Source organism: Homo sapiens, chromosome 17 (assembly GCF_000001405.40).
Source record: "Homo sapiens chromosome 17, GRCh38.p14 Primary Assembly".
NCBI classification, from domain to species: Eukaryota; Metazoa; Chordata; class Mammalia; order Primates; family Hominidae; genus Homo; species Homo sapiens.
Window position 1 is genome coordinate 49,247,694 of NC_000017.11, and position 14,304 is coordinate 49,261,997.

At 50.9% G+C, this 14,304-nt stretch overlaps 1 long non-coding RNA gene across 1 annotated transcript, besides 2 other annotated features; it reads left to right on the plus strand.

The window, feature by feature from the left end:
• The first annotated feature begins 549 nt into the window (after nucleotides 1-549).
• FLJ40194 (uncharacterized) lies at nucleotides 550-10,972 on the plus strand. Its single transcript, NR_034161.1, has 3 exons — nucleotides 550-609; nucleotides 4,553-4,981; nucleotides 10,740-10,972. It is a non-coding gene; the product is annotated as an uncharacterized FLJ40194 (long non-coding RNA).
• Nucleotides 12,529-12,928: a silencer, noted in NCBI's record as "silent region_8666". NCBI's record gives its function as "represses an Ori minimal core promoter by ATAC-STARR-seq in GM12878 lymphoblastoid cells {active_cell/tissue: GM12878}" and the evidence as "EXISTENCE:reporter gene assay evidence [ECO:0000049][PMID:35858748]".
• Nucleotides 13,087-13,899: an enhancer, noted in NCBI's record as "H3K27ac-H3K4me1 hESC enhancer chr17:47338142-47338954 (GRCh37/hg19 assembly coordinates)". NCBI's record gives its function as "activates a minimal SCP1, AML or CMV promoter by ChIP-STARR-seq in primed H9 embryonic stem cells {active_cell/tissue: H9 hESC(primed)}" and the evidence as "EXISTENCE:reporter gene assay evidence [ECO:0000049][PMID:30033119]".

Consider the following 14,304-nt stretch of genomic DNA (forward strand, 5'->3'; position numbering starts at 1 on the left):
TAAAAATACAAAAATTAGCCGGGCGGGGTGGCGCATGTCTGTAGTCCCAGCTACTCAGGAGGCTGAGTCAGGAGAGTCACTTGAACCCAGGAGGCAGAGGTTGCAGTGAGCCGAGATTGTGTCACTATACTCCAGCCTGAGTGACAGAGGGAGACTCTGCCTCAAAAAACAAACAAACAAAAAAGAAAATGGAAGGCACAAAGTAGTCAAATACCTCTCAAGACACCCATACATCCTGGAGGGCCAGAGGAGTCATTCATGTATTCATTTGCACATTCTTCCAACAAATATATTTGGAAAACCTACTGTGTGCCAGGACCAGGCTAGCGACTAAAAAATAACGATAAGAGGAAGCTTCGGCCCTGGGAGCACTTATAGCTGGCAGCAAGTAGACCAGTGCACAGACAAGGGCGTGGTGCTTCTGGTGAACTCAGGAGGGACACCCATCCCAGTCCAAAGGGAGGACCAGGGAGGGAGTGTCTGTGATGTCACAGGAGGGTTCCATGAGCAATAACTTATAAGCTGAGACCTGCAGGATGAACAGGAGTTAGGTGAAGAGGAGAACGATGTCCAGGCAGGGGCCGGGGAAGCTCGTGCCAAGGCACTGAGGTGAGAGAAGTGGTAGAAAAGGCAGAGCTTGGAGGGTCTTTTGAGCTTCATCTGTAAGGGCTGTGGGGAAACACTGAAGGTTTGGAGTCAGGGAGTGACACAATCTCATTTGCATTTTATTTTATTTTGATTTTGATTTTTTTGAGTCGGAGTCTCCCTCTGTCACCCAAGCTGGAGTGCAGTAGAAGCAGGATCTCAGCTCACTGCAGCCTCCGCCTCCTGGGTTCAAGTGATCCTCCTGCCTCAGCCTCCCAAGTAGCTGAGATTACAGGTGCCTGCCACCACGCCAGGCTAATTTGTTTGTATTTTTAGTAGAGATGGGATTTCACCACATTGCCCAGGCTGCTCTTGAACTCCTGACCTCAAGTGATCCACCCACCTCGGCCTCCCAAAGTGCTAGGATTACAGGTGTGAGCCACCGCACCTGGCCTATGTTTTATTTTATTTTATTTTGGAGACAGGGTCTGGCTCTGTTGCCCAAGTTGGAGTGCGGTGGCATGATCTCAGCTCACTGCAGCCTTGACCTCCCTGGCTCAAGCAGTCTTCTCACCTCAGCCTCCCAAGTAGCTAGGTCTAATTGGTCACCATACCCAGCTAATTTTTAATTTTTTTTTGTAGAGATGGAGTCTTGCTATGTTGCCCAGGCTGGTCTTGAACTCCTGGTCCCAAGAGATGCTCTCCCCTTAGCCTCCCCAGGCACATTTGCATTTTAGAAACATTGGCATATTTGCATTTTAGAAACATCGGCACATTTGCATTTTAGAAACATCACTTTTGTTGCTATTATTGATACCCTCAACACACAGACACACACACACATTTTGTGGCCTGTGGCTGAACATGCATGGCTGAGGCAGGGGCCTTTAGGGAGACCATAGCCCCGGCTGACCCAGTCCCCAGGGTGTTGGGGGAATAATGACAGCCTATCCTCTTCTCTGCACCCCACCCCATCCAGCAGACTTCAGGGTCAGGTTCTGAGGGCTGCTATATTGGGCTTTGGTGGGTGAGGGCTTTATCCCACCTCTGTCTGCATTGGGTCAGCTTCTCCCTGGGATGGAGGGATTCGTTGTATCTTCAGGGTGGCAGGGCCTCCTCCCCAGAGCCACAGTGCCCAAGATAACAGGGCAGCCCGGGAGCTGTTTATGAAAAGGCAGGCAAGGAGGGGTGGGCAGGGCCCTGGGGAACAGGGACTGCTGTCACAGATAGCAATTGGGGCGGAGAAGGCTGTCTAAATTACAGCTCCCAGAATAGAGGGGCCCAGAGGGAGTGGCGGGGCGTCCTACCAAAGAAGCCCTGGAAGCCTGCCAGGCATGTCCGGGCTCCAGGCCCTGCCGCAGGCAGAGGCAGGATGACCACATGCCGGGTGCGGCCCCAGGAGATGCAATTCATCTGCCAGGGCCACCGGGCAGCTTCAAGGTGGGGCCAGGCAGTGGCAGGGAGTTTCTTGGGGGCTGGGAGAGAACCAGCCTAGTGTGACCTTCAAGAAAGGTTGAGGGTGGTGAGGGGAGGGAAGGGCTAGGATGAGGGTTGGCTGACATCTTGCCTGCCCCCAGAGGAGACTCTCCATTACACGCCTCTGTGGATATTTCATAGAAGTGTGAAATACTCTGAAAATAACAAGAATGACAGGCATACAAAATAACAAGAATGACAAGCAGCCGTGTGTCAGGCAGCACTCTCAACAATAACATACATCACTTCAGTTCACCCTCCCAGCTCCCACGAGTTAGTTATTATCATCCCCATTTTATAGATGTAGAAACCGAGGCACCAAGAGGTCAAGTACTTGCCAAGGAGAATTGGTGAGTGGTAGACCTAGGACTTGAACCTGGGTGTGTCTGACTCTAGAGCCTAGACTCAGTCAGGGAATCTATTTGGAGCCCTTCTCCTCCCTGGGGCTCAGTTTTCTCATCTCTCACATGGGATCATAGTCTGTTGCTCTGTACCAGCCTCCCAAGAGCTGTGTCAGAATCACATGGGGACAGGTGTGATGTGCTGGGAAGAGCGTCAAGCACGAAGGCCTGCCTGAACTATGTGACTTATCCGCTCTAAGCCTGTTTCCTCGCTCGCAAAATGGAGATAATTGGTCAGGTGTGGTGGCTCACGCCTGTCATCCCAGCACTTTGGGAGGCCGAGGCAGGAGAATTGCTTGAGCCCAGGAGTTGGAGACCAGCCTGGGCAACGTGGCGAGACCCCATCTCTACCAAAAATTAAAAAAATTAGCCAGGTGTGGTGGTGCGCACCTGTAGTCCCAGGAGGCTGAGGCAGGAGGATCTCTTGAGGTCTAGGCTGCAATGAGTGAAGGTTGCACCACTGCACTCCGGCCCAGGCAACAGAGCAAGACCCTGTCTCTAAAATAAACAAAAAGCTCCAGCCTGGGCAACAGAGCAAGACCCTGTCTCTAAAAAAAAAAAAAAAAAAAAAAGCCGGGGAGGGGGTATAATGATAGATACCTCATAGGTTCCTCTGATAATCTGATGAGATGATCAGCTGGGTTTGGTGACTCACGCCTGTAATCCCAGCACTTTGGGAGGCTGAGGTGGGTGGATCACTTGAGGTCAGGAGTTCCAGACCAGCCGGACCAACATGGTAAAATCTCATCTCTACTAAAAATACAAAAATTAGCAGGGTGTGGTGGTCACGCCTTTAATCCCAGCTACTTGGGAGGCTGAGGCAGGAGAATTGCTTGAAACTGGGGAGGTGGAGGTTGCAGTGAGCCAAGATTGTGCCACTGCATTCCAGCCTGAGCGACAGAGTGAGACTCAAAAAAAAAAAAAAAAATCTGATGAGATTTTATATGTGTGAAAGTATTCCTGTATTTGAAGGTAGTTTTATAAATCAGAAAGTGTAACATTTCAAGTTATGAGGAAACTGAATATTTATAAAGGCAATGATTCCAGTTCACAAGGGAAACTCACCTGTGTCTCCAAGGAGCATCCCTCTTTCTAATGAAGAATTACCCCCTTTATTGTTTATTCTTGGGAGAGATTCAGTTTTTCTATAAGGAATGGCTTAAAGCAAGGCACGCCTACATTCATTTTCTGTGAGGATTTGCTGCTTTGAAACTGTCTTTTATCACCTGCTTGTAGCTAAAATGCTGATTTCCTTTTTTTTTTTTTTTTTTGAGACGGAGTCTTGCTCTGTCGCCCAGGCTGGAGTGCAGTGGCACCATCTTGGCTCACTGCCAGCTCCGCCTCCCGGGTTCACGCCATTCTCCTGCCTCAGGCTCCCGAGTAGCTGGGACTACAGGCACCCGCCACCAGGCCCGGCTAATTTTTTGTATTTTTTGTATTTTTAGTAGAGATGGAGTTTCACCGTGTTAGCCAGGATGGTCTCGGTCTCCTGACCTTGTGATCCGCCCACCTCGGCCTCCCAAAGTGCTGGGATTACAGGCATGAGCCACCGCGCCCGGCTAAAATGCTGATTTTCAGCTGAGGCTAGGGAAGCCCCACCTCAGTTCCCAGCCCCATCTGTTTCCTGGACTGTAGGGTTCCATACAGAGACAAGTTCAGTCCAGATGACCCTTATCCCCAGGCTGCAAGCTGGCTTTCCCAGCCTCCTTCCCTACCAGATGTATTATTTATTTATTTATTTGTTTGTTTGTTTATTTATTTGAGACAGAGCCTGGCTGTGTCGCCCAGGCTGGAGTGTTGTGGCGCAATCTCGGCTCACTGCAAACTTTGCCTCCCAGGTTCAAGAGCTTCTCCTGCCTCAGCCTCCTGAGTAGCTGGGATTACAGGCGTGCACCACCACGCCTGGCTAATTTTTGTATTTTTAGTAGAGACAGAGTTTCAGCATGTTGGCCAGGCTGGTCTCAAACTCCTGACCTCAGGTGATCCGCCCGCCTTGACCTCCCAAAGTGCTGGGATTATAGGCTTGAGCCACCGCGCCTGCTCCAGATGTATTACTTAATGTCCTGCAACATCCTCTAATCTGCCTCCAGGGGAAGTGCTGCAATGAACCTCAGAGGCTGGATCTTGCTGACTCATCTGGGGTACCAAGGACAGACAAAGGACATGGAGTCCAGGCCCAGGAGGCGATACCAGGCCAGCAGTTTCACTGATGCTCCTGTCATGACGATGACTGCCTCCCTCCTCCCCTTGGTCCCTGACTCAGTGTCTGCAGTGACCAGGCACCAGGCAGGGAGCAAGGAACCAAGCCTTTCACCTGCTCCCACCAACTCCTATGGTGCTCCCTTTCCAAGGCTAGGTCTCCTCTCCACCCAGTTCCTTATCACGTACCATGAGAAGCTGTCACCTTGGCAACTGTCACCTTCTGGTGAGATTTACAATTGCACTGCTACAACTGCTTGTGGCATGGTAAAGTTGCACCAGGACCTCTGCTGTCCATGAGATCAAAGTTCCAGGCCAAGGTGAGCACCCGCCTCCATCCTAGAGAGGATTCTGTGAGAATCATTGAGAGGGAGCTACTCTCTCCAGGCAATCACGGGGGTGAGAAAGAAAAAAAAAAAGAGAGGGAGTTACTCATGTACTGACTTATTCAATGAATGCTTATGTTGTAATACCTACTATGTGTCTGGTGCTGTTCTAGGCACCAGGGGCACGAACAGTGTTGCCCGCATGGAACTCACACTTAATGGGAGCGGCAGCCAACAGGTAAATATATAGAATGCCATATGATGATAGATGCTATGAAGAACATAAAGAAGGGAAGGTGTGTTGAGAGCGGAAAGGGTGCTGTTTAACAAAGGGCAGTTGGAGAATGCCTCCCTGATCAGGTGTTGAGCCCAGTGAAGGAAAGAAATGAGGGATCCAGCCATACAAGTGCCTGGGGGAAGAGCCTTCCAGCAGAGAGACCAGCAAGTACTCAGGTGAGAGTGATCTTGGTGTGTTCAAACAGCAGTTAGGAGGCCAGCGTGAGGCTGCAGTGGCGTGAGCCAGGTGGAGCCACTCAAAGGATAGAGTTGTGATTTATGGTGAAGCGGGTTTGAAGGATGGAAGTCTGCTGTTAGAATCTTCTTTAACTTTGGCCGGACGCAGTGGCTCATGCCTGTAATCCCAGGACTTTGGGAGGCCGAGGTGGCTGGATCACCTGAGGTCAGGAGTTCGTGACCAGCCTGGTCAGCCTGGTGAAAGCCCGTCTCTACCAAAAATACAAAAATTAGCCAGATGTGGTGGCATGCTTGTAATCCCAGCTACTCAGGTTGCTGAGGCAGGAGAATCACTTGAGCACGGGAGGTGGAGTTTACAGTGAGCTGAGATCGCACCATTGCACTCCAGCCGGGGCAACAAGAGTGAAACTCGGTCTCAAAAAAACAAAACAAAACAAAAAAAAACCTTTCTCAACTCCAACCCAAGTCCCTCAAGCCAGTTAAGCTAGGATTAGAGTTCAGGGCCTGACTGGGCGTGGTGGCTCATGCCTGTAATCCTAGCACTTTGGGAGGCCAAGGCAGGTGAATTACTTGAGCCCAAGAGTTCAAGACCAGCCTGGGCAATACAGCAATACCCCATTTCTACAAAAAAATACAAAAATTAGTCAGGCGTGGTGGCATACACCTGTAATCCCAGCTACTCAGGAGGCTAAGGTAGAAAGATCACTTGAGTCCATCCATTTGAGGTTGCAGTGAGCTGTGATCCTGCCACTACGCAACAGAGTAAGACCCTGTCTTAAAAAAAAAAAAAAAAGTTCGGGGCTTCAGGGCCCAATTTGCTGCTTCTTCAGCTCTGACTGCATCTCACAGTGGCCAGGCTTCCCCTGGAAGGCAGTGTTGCCTGCAATTTCTTTCTGCCCAGCTCTGGCCTTTCCCCCTAAACTGATCTCCCACTTCCTCACATCCCTGGAGACACCTGCCTGCCCATCTGCCCACTTGCCTGTGCCCCTCACTTGGCAGTCAGCACACCCCTGCTTAATGTCGTTATCACTTCACTTCCTATTTATTTATTTATTTTTGAGATGGAGTTTTGCTCTTCTTGCCCAGGCTGGAGTGCAATGGCGCCACCTCAGCTCACTGCAGCCTCGACCACCTGGGCTCCAGCAGTCTTCCCATCTCAGCCTTCCAAGTAGCTGGAACCACGGGCAGGCACTACCATGCCAGGCTAATTCTTTTACTTTTTTCAGAGATGGGGTCTCACTAGGTTGCCAGAGCTGGTCTCAAACTTCTGGGCTCAAGAGATCCTCCTGCCTTGGCCTCTCAAAGTGCTGGGATTACAGGCGTGAGCCACCGCGCCTGGCCATTATCACTTCTTTTTATATCTTCTCTCTCCAGCTAAACTGAGAGTAACTGGCGAGTGAGGACTAGTTTTAGATTTCTTGGAGTTTATAGTGCTTGGCACATTAGAAGTCTTGATAAATACACTTAAAGCGGTCAGGAATGTGAATGTTCAAACGAGGCCAACTCTTTTTTTTTTTTTTTTTTTTTTTGAGACAGAGTCTTGCTGTGTCACCCAGGCCGGAGTGCACTAGCACAATCTCAGCTCATTGCAACCTCCATCTCCCAGGTTCAAGTGATTCTCCTGCCTCAGCCTCCCGAGTAGCTGGGATTACAGGCCTGTGCCACTATGCTAATTTTTTTTTTTTGTATTATTAGTAGAGACAGGGTTTCACCATGTTAGCCAGGCCGGTCTTGAACTTCTGACCTCAAGTGATCTGCCCACCTCGGCCTCCCAAAGTGCTGGGATTACAGGTGTGAGCCACCGCTCCTGGCTGAGGCCACCTCTTTTCTTGGGGACACTTGGGCTCCAGCTTTCTCCATTCATCAGCTTAGCATGAGCTTGAGGAACGCAGAGGGGGGCTGACTGAGAGGAGCAGGCACTGGGGACAATGGGGACATCCACGGTTCCTAGCAATGGATTTGAGGTGGGATTTCCAATTCCTCTTCTCCCACCTTGGATTTGACCATCTGAATACCAAATTCCTGTCACTTCTAGGATGTCACCTAAGATGAGACTGTGGTCTTTCCACTCTTGGGTCCCAAGGAGGTGCCACAGGGCCTACAATAAGGCAAGGAAGGCTCAGTGAGGTCCGTGTTCACCCCACCCCCACTTCAACACGAGGAGTTCTGCTTTTATTTTGCCTCTGTGTGTGTGTGTGTGTGTGTGTGTTTCTAGGTATTATTTTATTTGGAGAAAGGATTTGCTCCTAAGGACACACACACGCACACACACATGCACACTCACGCACACGTACTCACAGGTTCTGCAAAACACTAGTGTGGCAGAAAGTGTTGAAAACTAGTTCTAGACCTGGCATGAATTTGACCAGGTTCAGCCTTAGTCTCCTCTCTTAGAAATAAGGTCATCTGGGCCAGGTGCGGTGGCTCAAGCCTGTAATCCCAGCACTTTGGGAGGCCGAGGTGGGCGGATCACGAGATCAGGACCTCAAGACCAGCCTGACCAACATGGTGAAACCCCGTCTCTACTAAAAATACAAAAATTAGCCAGGCATGGTGGCACGTGCCTATAATCCCAGCTAGTCTGGAGGGTGAGGCAGGAGAATCGCTGGAACCTGGGAGGCAGAGGTTGCGGCGAGCCGAGATCATGTGAGGAAATAAGGCCATCTGGAAATATCCTTCCCATCACAGGATGATACCCGGCAAATTCTTCAAAGCAGTGTTCTCCAACTTGAATGTTTGTGATGTGGGCGATTCTGACTGAGGGGGTCTGTAGACCACATCTTGATAAACAATGCTTTTTAAAAAATTCCTAGAAGAGAATATTTGATTTCTGGAAGGATAGAGAAGAAACTAATAAGAGTGTTTACCTCCGAGGAGGAGGAGAATTGGGAAGCTGAGAGCAGAGGAGGGAGGAAGACTTACTTTTCACCGTGTTCTTTTTTGTACCTTTTGAGTTTTGTACGACATACTGAATCTTTGACCCATTTGCAATTATAAATAAAGGCACATTTATTTGGCCGGGCGCGGTGGCTCATGCCTGTAATCCCAGCACTTTGGGAGGACGAGGTGGGTGGATCACCTAAGGTCAGGAGTTAGTGACCAGCCTGGCCAACATGGTGAAACCTCGCTCTACTAAAACACAAAAATTAGCCAGATGTGGTGGCAGGCACCTGTAATCCCAGCTACTCAGAAGGCTGAGGCAGGAGAATCGCTTGAACCTGGGAGGCAGAGGTTGCAGTGAGCTGAGATCGCACGACTGCACTCCAGCCTGGGCAACAGAGTGAGACTCTGTCTCAAAAAAAAAAAAAAAAAAAAGAAAAAGAAAATAATTAGCCAGGCATGGTGGCAGGCGCCTATAATCCCAGATAGGAGGCTGAGGCAGAAGAACTGTTTGAACCTGGGAGGCGGAGGTTGCAGTGAGCCAAGATCACACCACTGCATTCCAGCCTGAGCAACAGAGCAAGACTGTCTCAAAAAAAAAAAAAAAAGTACATTTACTTGAAAAAAAATAAATAACTAAAAACATTTGGCACATTATTCAAATCCAAGGTGTAAAAAAACGCCACAGGGCATGGTGGCTCACGCCTGTAATCCTCGCACTTTGGGAGGCTGAGGCGGGTGGGTCACCTGAGGTCTGGAGTTTGAGACCAGCCTGGCCAACATGGTGAAACCCCATCTCTACTAAAAATACAAAAAAATTAGCCAGGCATGGTGGCAGGCACCTGTAATCCCAGCTACTCGGGAGGCTGAGGCAGGAGAATCATTTGAACCTGGGAGGCAGACGTTGCAGTGAGCCGAGATCACACCATTGCCCTCCAGCCTGGGCAACAAGTGAAACTCCATCTCAAAAAAAAAAAAAAAAAAACCCACAAAAAACAAAAAACAACAACAACAAAAAAACAAACACCACAAACATGACCACCTGCCATGACCTCCCTGGACTGATTGACCCACAGGAAAGCCAGCAAGCTTGTTCCTGAGGCCTTTGGGAATTGCATGCACTGCTGCCCAGCTCTGGTCACACAGGGTCACCCAGAGACTCAAGGAAAAAGGGGAGGCGTCACCCAATCAGTCTCTCCCTCAGGTGTGGCATCCAAGCTGGCTAAAGGGTGGCAGGTCCCAAACTGTCCATGTTTCTCTTACGGGAGCTGCCGAAGATGGCAGAGATGTTAAAACAAAACACAAACAAACAAACCCAATACACCCAGGAGGCCACCTGAGCTCCCACAACGCTGGCTGTATACCTTATAAAAACTGCCTGGATATGTTGTGCTACCTGTGTATTCGTCTGTGCCCTACCCCCACAGTGTCAATTCCACCAAGGCAGGGACCGTGTCTTGTTCATCCTTGTGCGTCCAGTGCCTAAGCCCAGCCCTGTTTATGAACTGGAGGCAAACACCTTTGGAAGGAAGGCTACTCCCAGCCCCTCGCCAGGCATCTGTGTTACTGTGGCTTCTGCTCCACCAACGACTAGCAGTTCGCAGCTTCTAAACGGTGTTCCCTCTGTTGCAGCTGAGCTTCCTGCAATCCTGTAAAACAGGCTCTATTGCTATTATCACCATCTTCATTGAACCAATGAAGAAAGCAGTCTTGTGTCTACCATCTTACCATCTTGTATTTTGTGGTGTGCCATTGGCCACTTCACTTTTTTCCTTTGGTTTTGCACCTGTAAAATGGGTGCCATTATTTCTGACATACCCATGAGCCAGAGGACATGTCAGAATCAAGGGGTCAAAGTGGCTATGAGGCCAGAAGCTGTAAAGAAGGAGCAGAGATCAAATTTAAACCTAGCATCTTTCCTTTTTTTTTTTTTGAGATGGAGTCTTGCTCTGTCGCTCAGGCTGGAGTGCAGTGGCACAATCTTGGCTCACTGCAACTTCTGCTTCCCGGGTTCAAGTGATTCTCCTGCCTCAGCCTCCTGAGTAGCTGGGATTACAGGCGTGTGCCACCACACCCAGCTGATTTTTGTATTTTTAGTAGAGATGGGGTTTCACCATGTTGGCCAGGCTGGTCTCAAACTCCTGACCTCAGGTGATCCACCCACCTCGGCCTCCGAAAGTGCTGGGATTACAGGCATGAGCCACCATGCCTGGCCTTTTTTTTTTTTTGAGTCAGGGTCTCACTCTTGTCACCCAGGCTGAGTGCAATGGCATGATCACAACTCACTGCAGCCTCGATCTCACAGGCTCAAGCGATTCTCCCACCTTAGCCTCCCCAGTAGCTGGTACCACAGGCAGGCACCACCACGCCCAGCTAATTTTTTATTTTTATTTCTTAGAGACGGGTCTCACTATGTTGCCCAGGCTGGTCTCAAGTTCCTGGATTCAATGTTCTTGCCTTGGCTTCTCAAAGTACCAGGATTATAGGCATGAGCCACTGTGCCAGGCCCAAACCTAGCTTCTGAGTGGAAAAATTTCTGCTGCCCCACCAGCTTCAGGAAGTGGGAGTCAACTCTAGTCACTGTGGTGATGCAGAGATAATACGGCTGATAAACCCCTTATTTTTCTCTCCTTGTTTTTGGTCATCATTAGGAATTTGTTGACAGAGAGGGGACAGGTAAAGATACCATTATACTTATTATTATTATTATCTTGAGACAGAGTCTCATTCTGTCTCCCAGGCTGGAGTGCAGTGATGTGATCTCATCTCACTGCAACCTCCGCCCTCCGGGTTCAAGCAGTTCTCCTGCCTCAGCCTCCTGAGTAGCTGGGACTGTAGAGGCACATGCCACCATGCCTGGCTAATTTTTTTGTATTTTTAGTAGAGATGGGGTTTGACTATGTTGGCCAAGCTGGTCTCGAACTCCTGACCTCAGGTGACCCACCCACCTCGGCCTCCCAAAGTGCTGGGATTACGAGTGTGAGCCACGGTGCCAGGCCCTATTATACTTTGCTAACCTTTTATTGTGTACCTACTATGTACACAGGTGCTGGGGAGGTGAGTAATACAGCAAAAGAAAAAGGTTAACTCCCTATGGGAGGCTGTTGCCTGCAGAGGATGTATTTGAATGGGAATCCCAGAATATTCGTGATATAGATGGGGAAACTGAGGCCCAGAATGGGGAAGGGGCTTGCCCAAGGTACACAAATTGGAACACTCAGTGGCCTTTAGTTAGATTTCTTTATTACTTATTTATTTTTTTGAGAGGGAGTTTTGCTCTATCACCCAGGCTGGAGGCAGTGGCCTTCTTGGCTCACCGCAACTTCTGCCTCCCAGGTTCAAGCGATCCTCCTGCCTCAGCCTCCCAAGTAGTGGTAACTACAGGTGTGCACCACCATGCCCAGCTAATTTTTGTATTTTCAGTAAAGACAGCGTTCACCATGTTGGCCAGGCTGGTCTTGAACTCCTGACCTCAGGTGATCACCCACCTCAGTTTCCCAAACTGCTGGGATTATAGGCGTGAGCCACTGCGTCCGGCCTTAGTTAGCTTTATTAATGAGAAAACAGGAGTGCTGGTCCTTAGCCTCCAGTCCTGATGGGGTGCAGCGAGGAAATGGAGCTCTCACTGGAAGCTGTGGCCCTGCCAGGACTACAGCCCTCGGTTTTTTGTGTTTTTTATGTTTTTTTTTTTTTTTTTTTTTTTTCACCCAGGCCTGTGCACTGAGGGGTAGGGGAAAAAGGCAGGAAGGGGAGGGTGGAGTCACCTCGCAAAAGGAAGCCAGGGGAGCCCAGAACAGGATCCAGGGTCTCCCTCCCCCGTGGTCTGGAGATCCTTGACATCTGCCATCCCCTTAGCAGAAGCTGCAGCCAGAGAAAGAGGGCGACGGTCCCGTCACATTCTGAGCCCAGCAACGGAGGGCTTTCCAGGCCGGGACTGCGGGCAGATGGGAATTCTCCTCTCCTTTCTGCTGGACGTATCTCCCCTCAGTTTCGCTATCTGTAAGATGGGGCATTGTCCCTGCCAAACCCGCAGGCCAGGACGGCCTAAGAGGATCAAACGAGGAGAGGCAACGAGGATTGGTGCCTGGCTTTTCCTGAAAACAGATTCCTCCCCCGCCCCCGGGACCTGTCCCACAGGGGCGTCTGGAAATTCCACAGAGCCAGCCAGTCTCAGAGTGAAACAATCGGATCCGCCGCGACACAGCAGCTATTCAGACGTCGGGGGCGGGGGCCGGGCCGCTGAGCGAGCAGAGCAATGCCGCCCTCGCGTCCCCTCCCGGCCCACGCGGCTGCCCCGGCCGCCCTCCCCGCGGAGCCCCGGCCTCGCACGGGCCTCGGCGCCCGCCGGGCGTCCCCCAAGCTTCCTTGTTTGTGGCCGAGCGACCGCGGAGCGTGGCACGTTCAGGAAGGACGAGTCGCCCCACGGCGGGGAACCGGCGACCGGCGGCAGCCCCAGCCCAACCCCGGCCACGCCTCGTTAGGCGCCACGTCCCGTCCCCGGGCGCCCGGAGCACTGTGCCCCGCCGGCCCCTGCCCGCCGCTCGCTGTAGGAGGGAGCCTTCTGCGTCGGCTCCCGACACTCGCTCACTGGGGCGCGGGCACTTGAGAGTAGGCAACCTGGGGGCCCCAGAAGGGGATGGGGCTCCGACAGCTTCAGCCGGGCGTCCCCTCAGCTGCCTTAGCTGGCGTCTGAGAGCGACTCCTCCGTCCAGGGCTGACAGTTCCCTTGCCCCTTAAGAGCCAATCGGAGAATCATAGGATCTGACATCCTGTGGCTCAGCCGGGTCTAAGAGCTCATGAGTCACCCTGTGTGCTTTGCTGATGAGGAAACCGAGGCCCAGAGACGGGGGCTGACTTATTCGAGCCACGTTTGTGTCTCCTAGCCCTGTGCCCTTTCTCCAACACTCTACTATCCTACCTCAAATCAAATCCACTCTGGGGCTAAGGACATCTAGAAGTGTGCGTGTGTGTGTGTGTGTGTGTGTGCGCGCGCGCCAAGAGTGGCTTGGCTACATTAGGGAAATGCCAGAAAAATGGAAGGTTTCTAATAAAAGCTGCTCTCCACGGGCCCAGAGTGTGGGGCTCCCACCCATTGGCTCCACAAATCACCTGTACAACCTTGCCAGACATTGGCCGCCTGGCAGCTCCAGACTTCACTCCACCCACACTCCCCACACACATACAGACAATGGCATTTTTTTCTATGGCATCTGGAAGGGGCAGAAATGCCCAGAGACCTGGTTTGATCCCACTTCTCTTGGGCCCTTCTCTATGTTTCTAAAATTGCTTTACTGCAGGCGCTTGGGTGGCTCTTGTGGTCTCTACACAGATTTGTTTTCTCCAGTGAGACTCAGTCCTGTGGGTCACCCATCAGGACTACATTTCCAAGGGTCCTTCAGGTGGCTCCATGCTCCTGGGTCAAACTGTTACCAGAAAGGGGTCTTGATCCAAACCTCAAGAGAGTATTCTTGGATCTCGTGTAAGAAGGAATTCGGGGCGAGACTGTAAAGTGAAAGCAAATTTATTAGGAAAATAAAGAAATAAAAGAATGGCTACTCTATAGACAGAGCAGCCCCGAGCACTGCTGGTTACCCATTTTTATGGTTATTTCTTGATGCTGTGCTAAACAAGGGGTAGATTATTCGTGCCTCCCCTTTTTAGACCATAGAGGGTAACTTCCTGACGTTGCCATGGTATTTGTAAACTGTCATGGCGCTGGTGGGAGTATAGCAGTGAGGACCACCAGAGGTCACTCTCGTGGCCATCTTGGTTTTGGTGGGTTTTGGCCGGCTTCTTTACCGCAACCTGTTTTATCAGCAAGGTCTTTTTTTTTTTTTGAGATGGAGTCCCGCTCTGTCACCCAGGCTGGAGTGCAGTGGTGCCATCTCGGCTCACTGCAACCTCTGCCTACTGGGTTCAAGTGATTCTCCTGCCTCCCAAGTAGCTGGGATTACAGGTGTCTG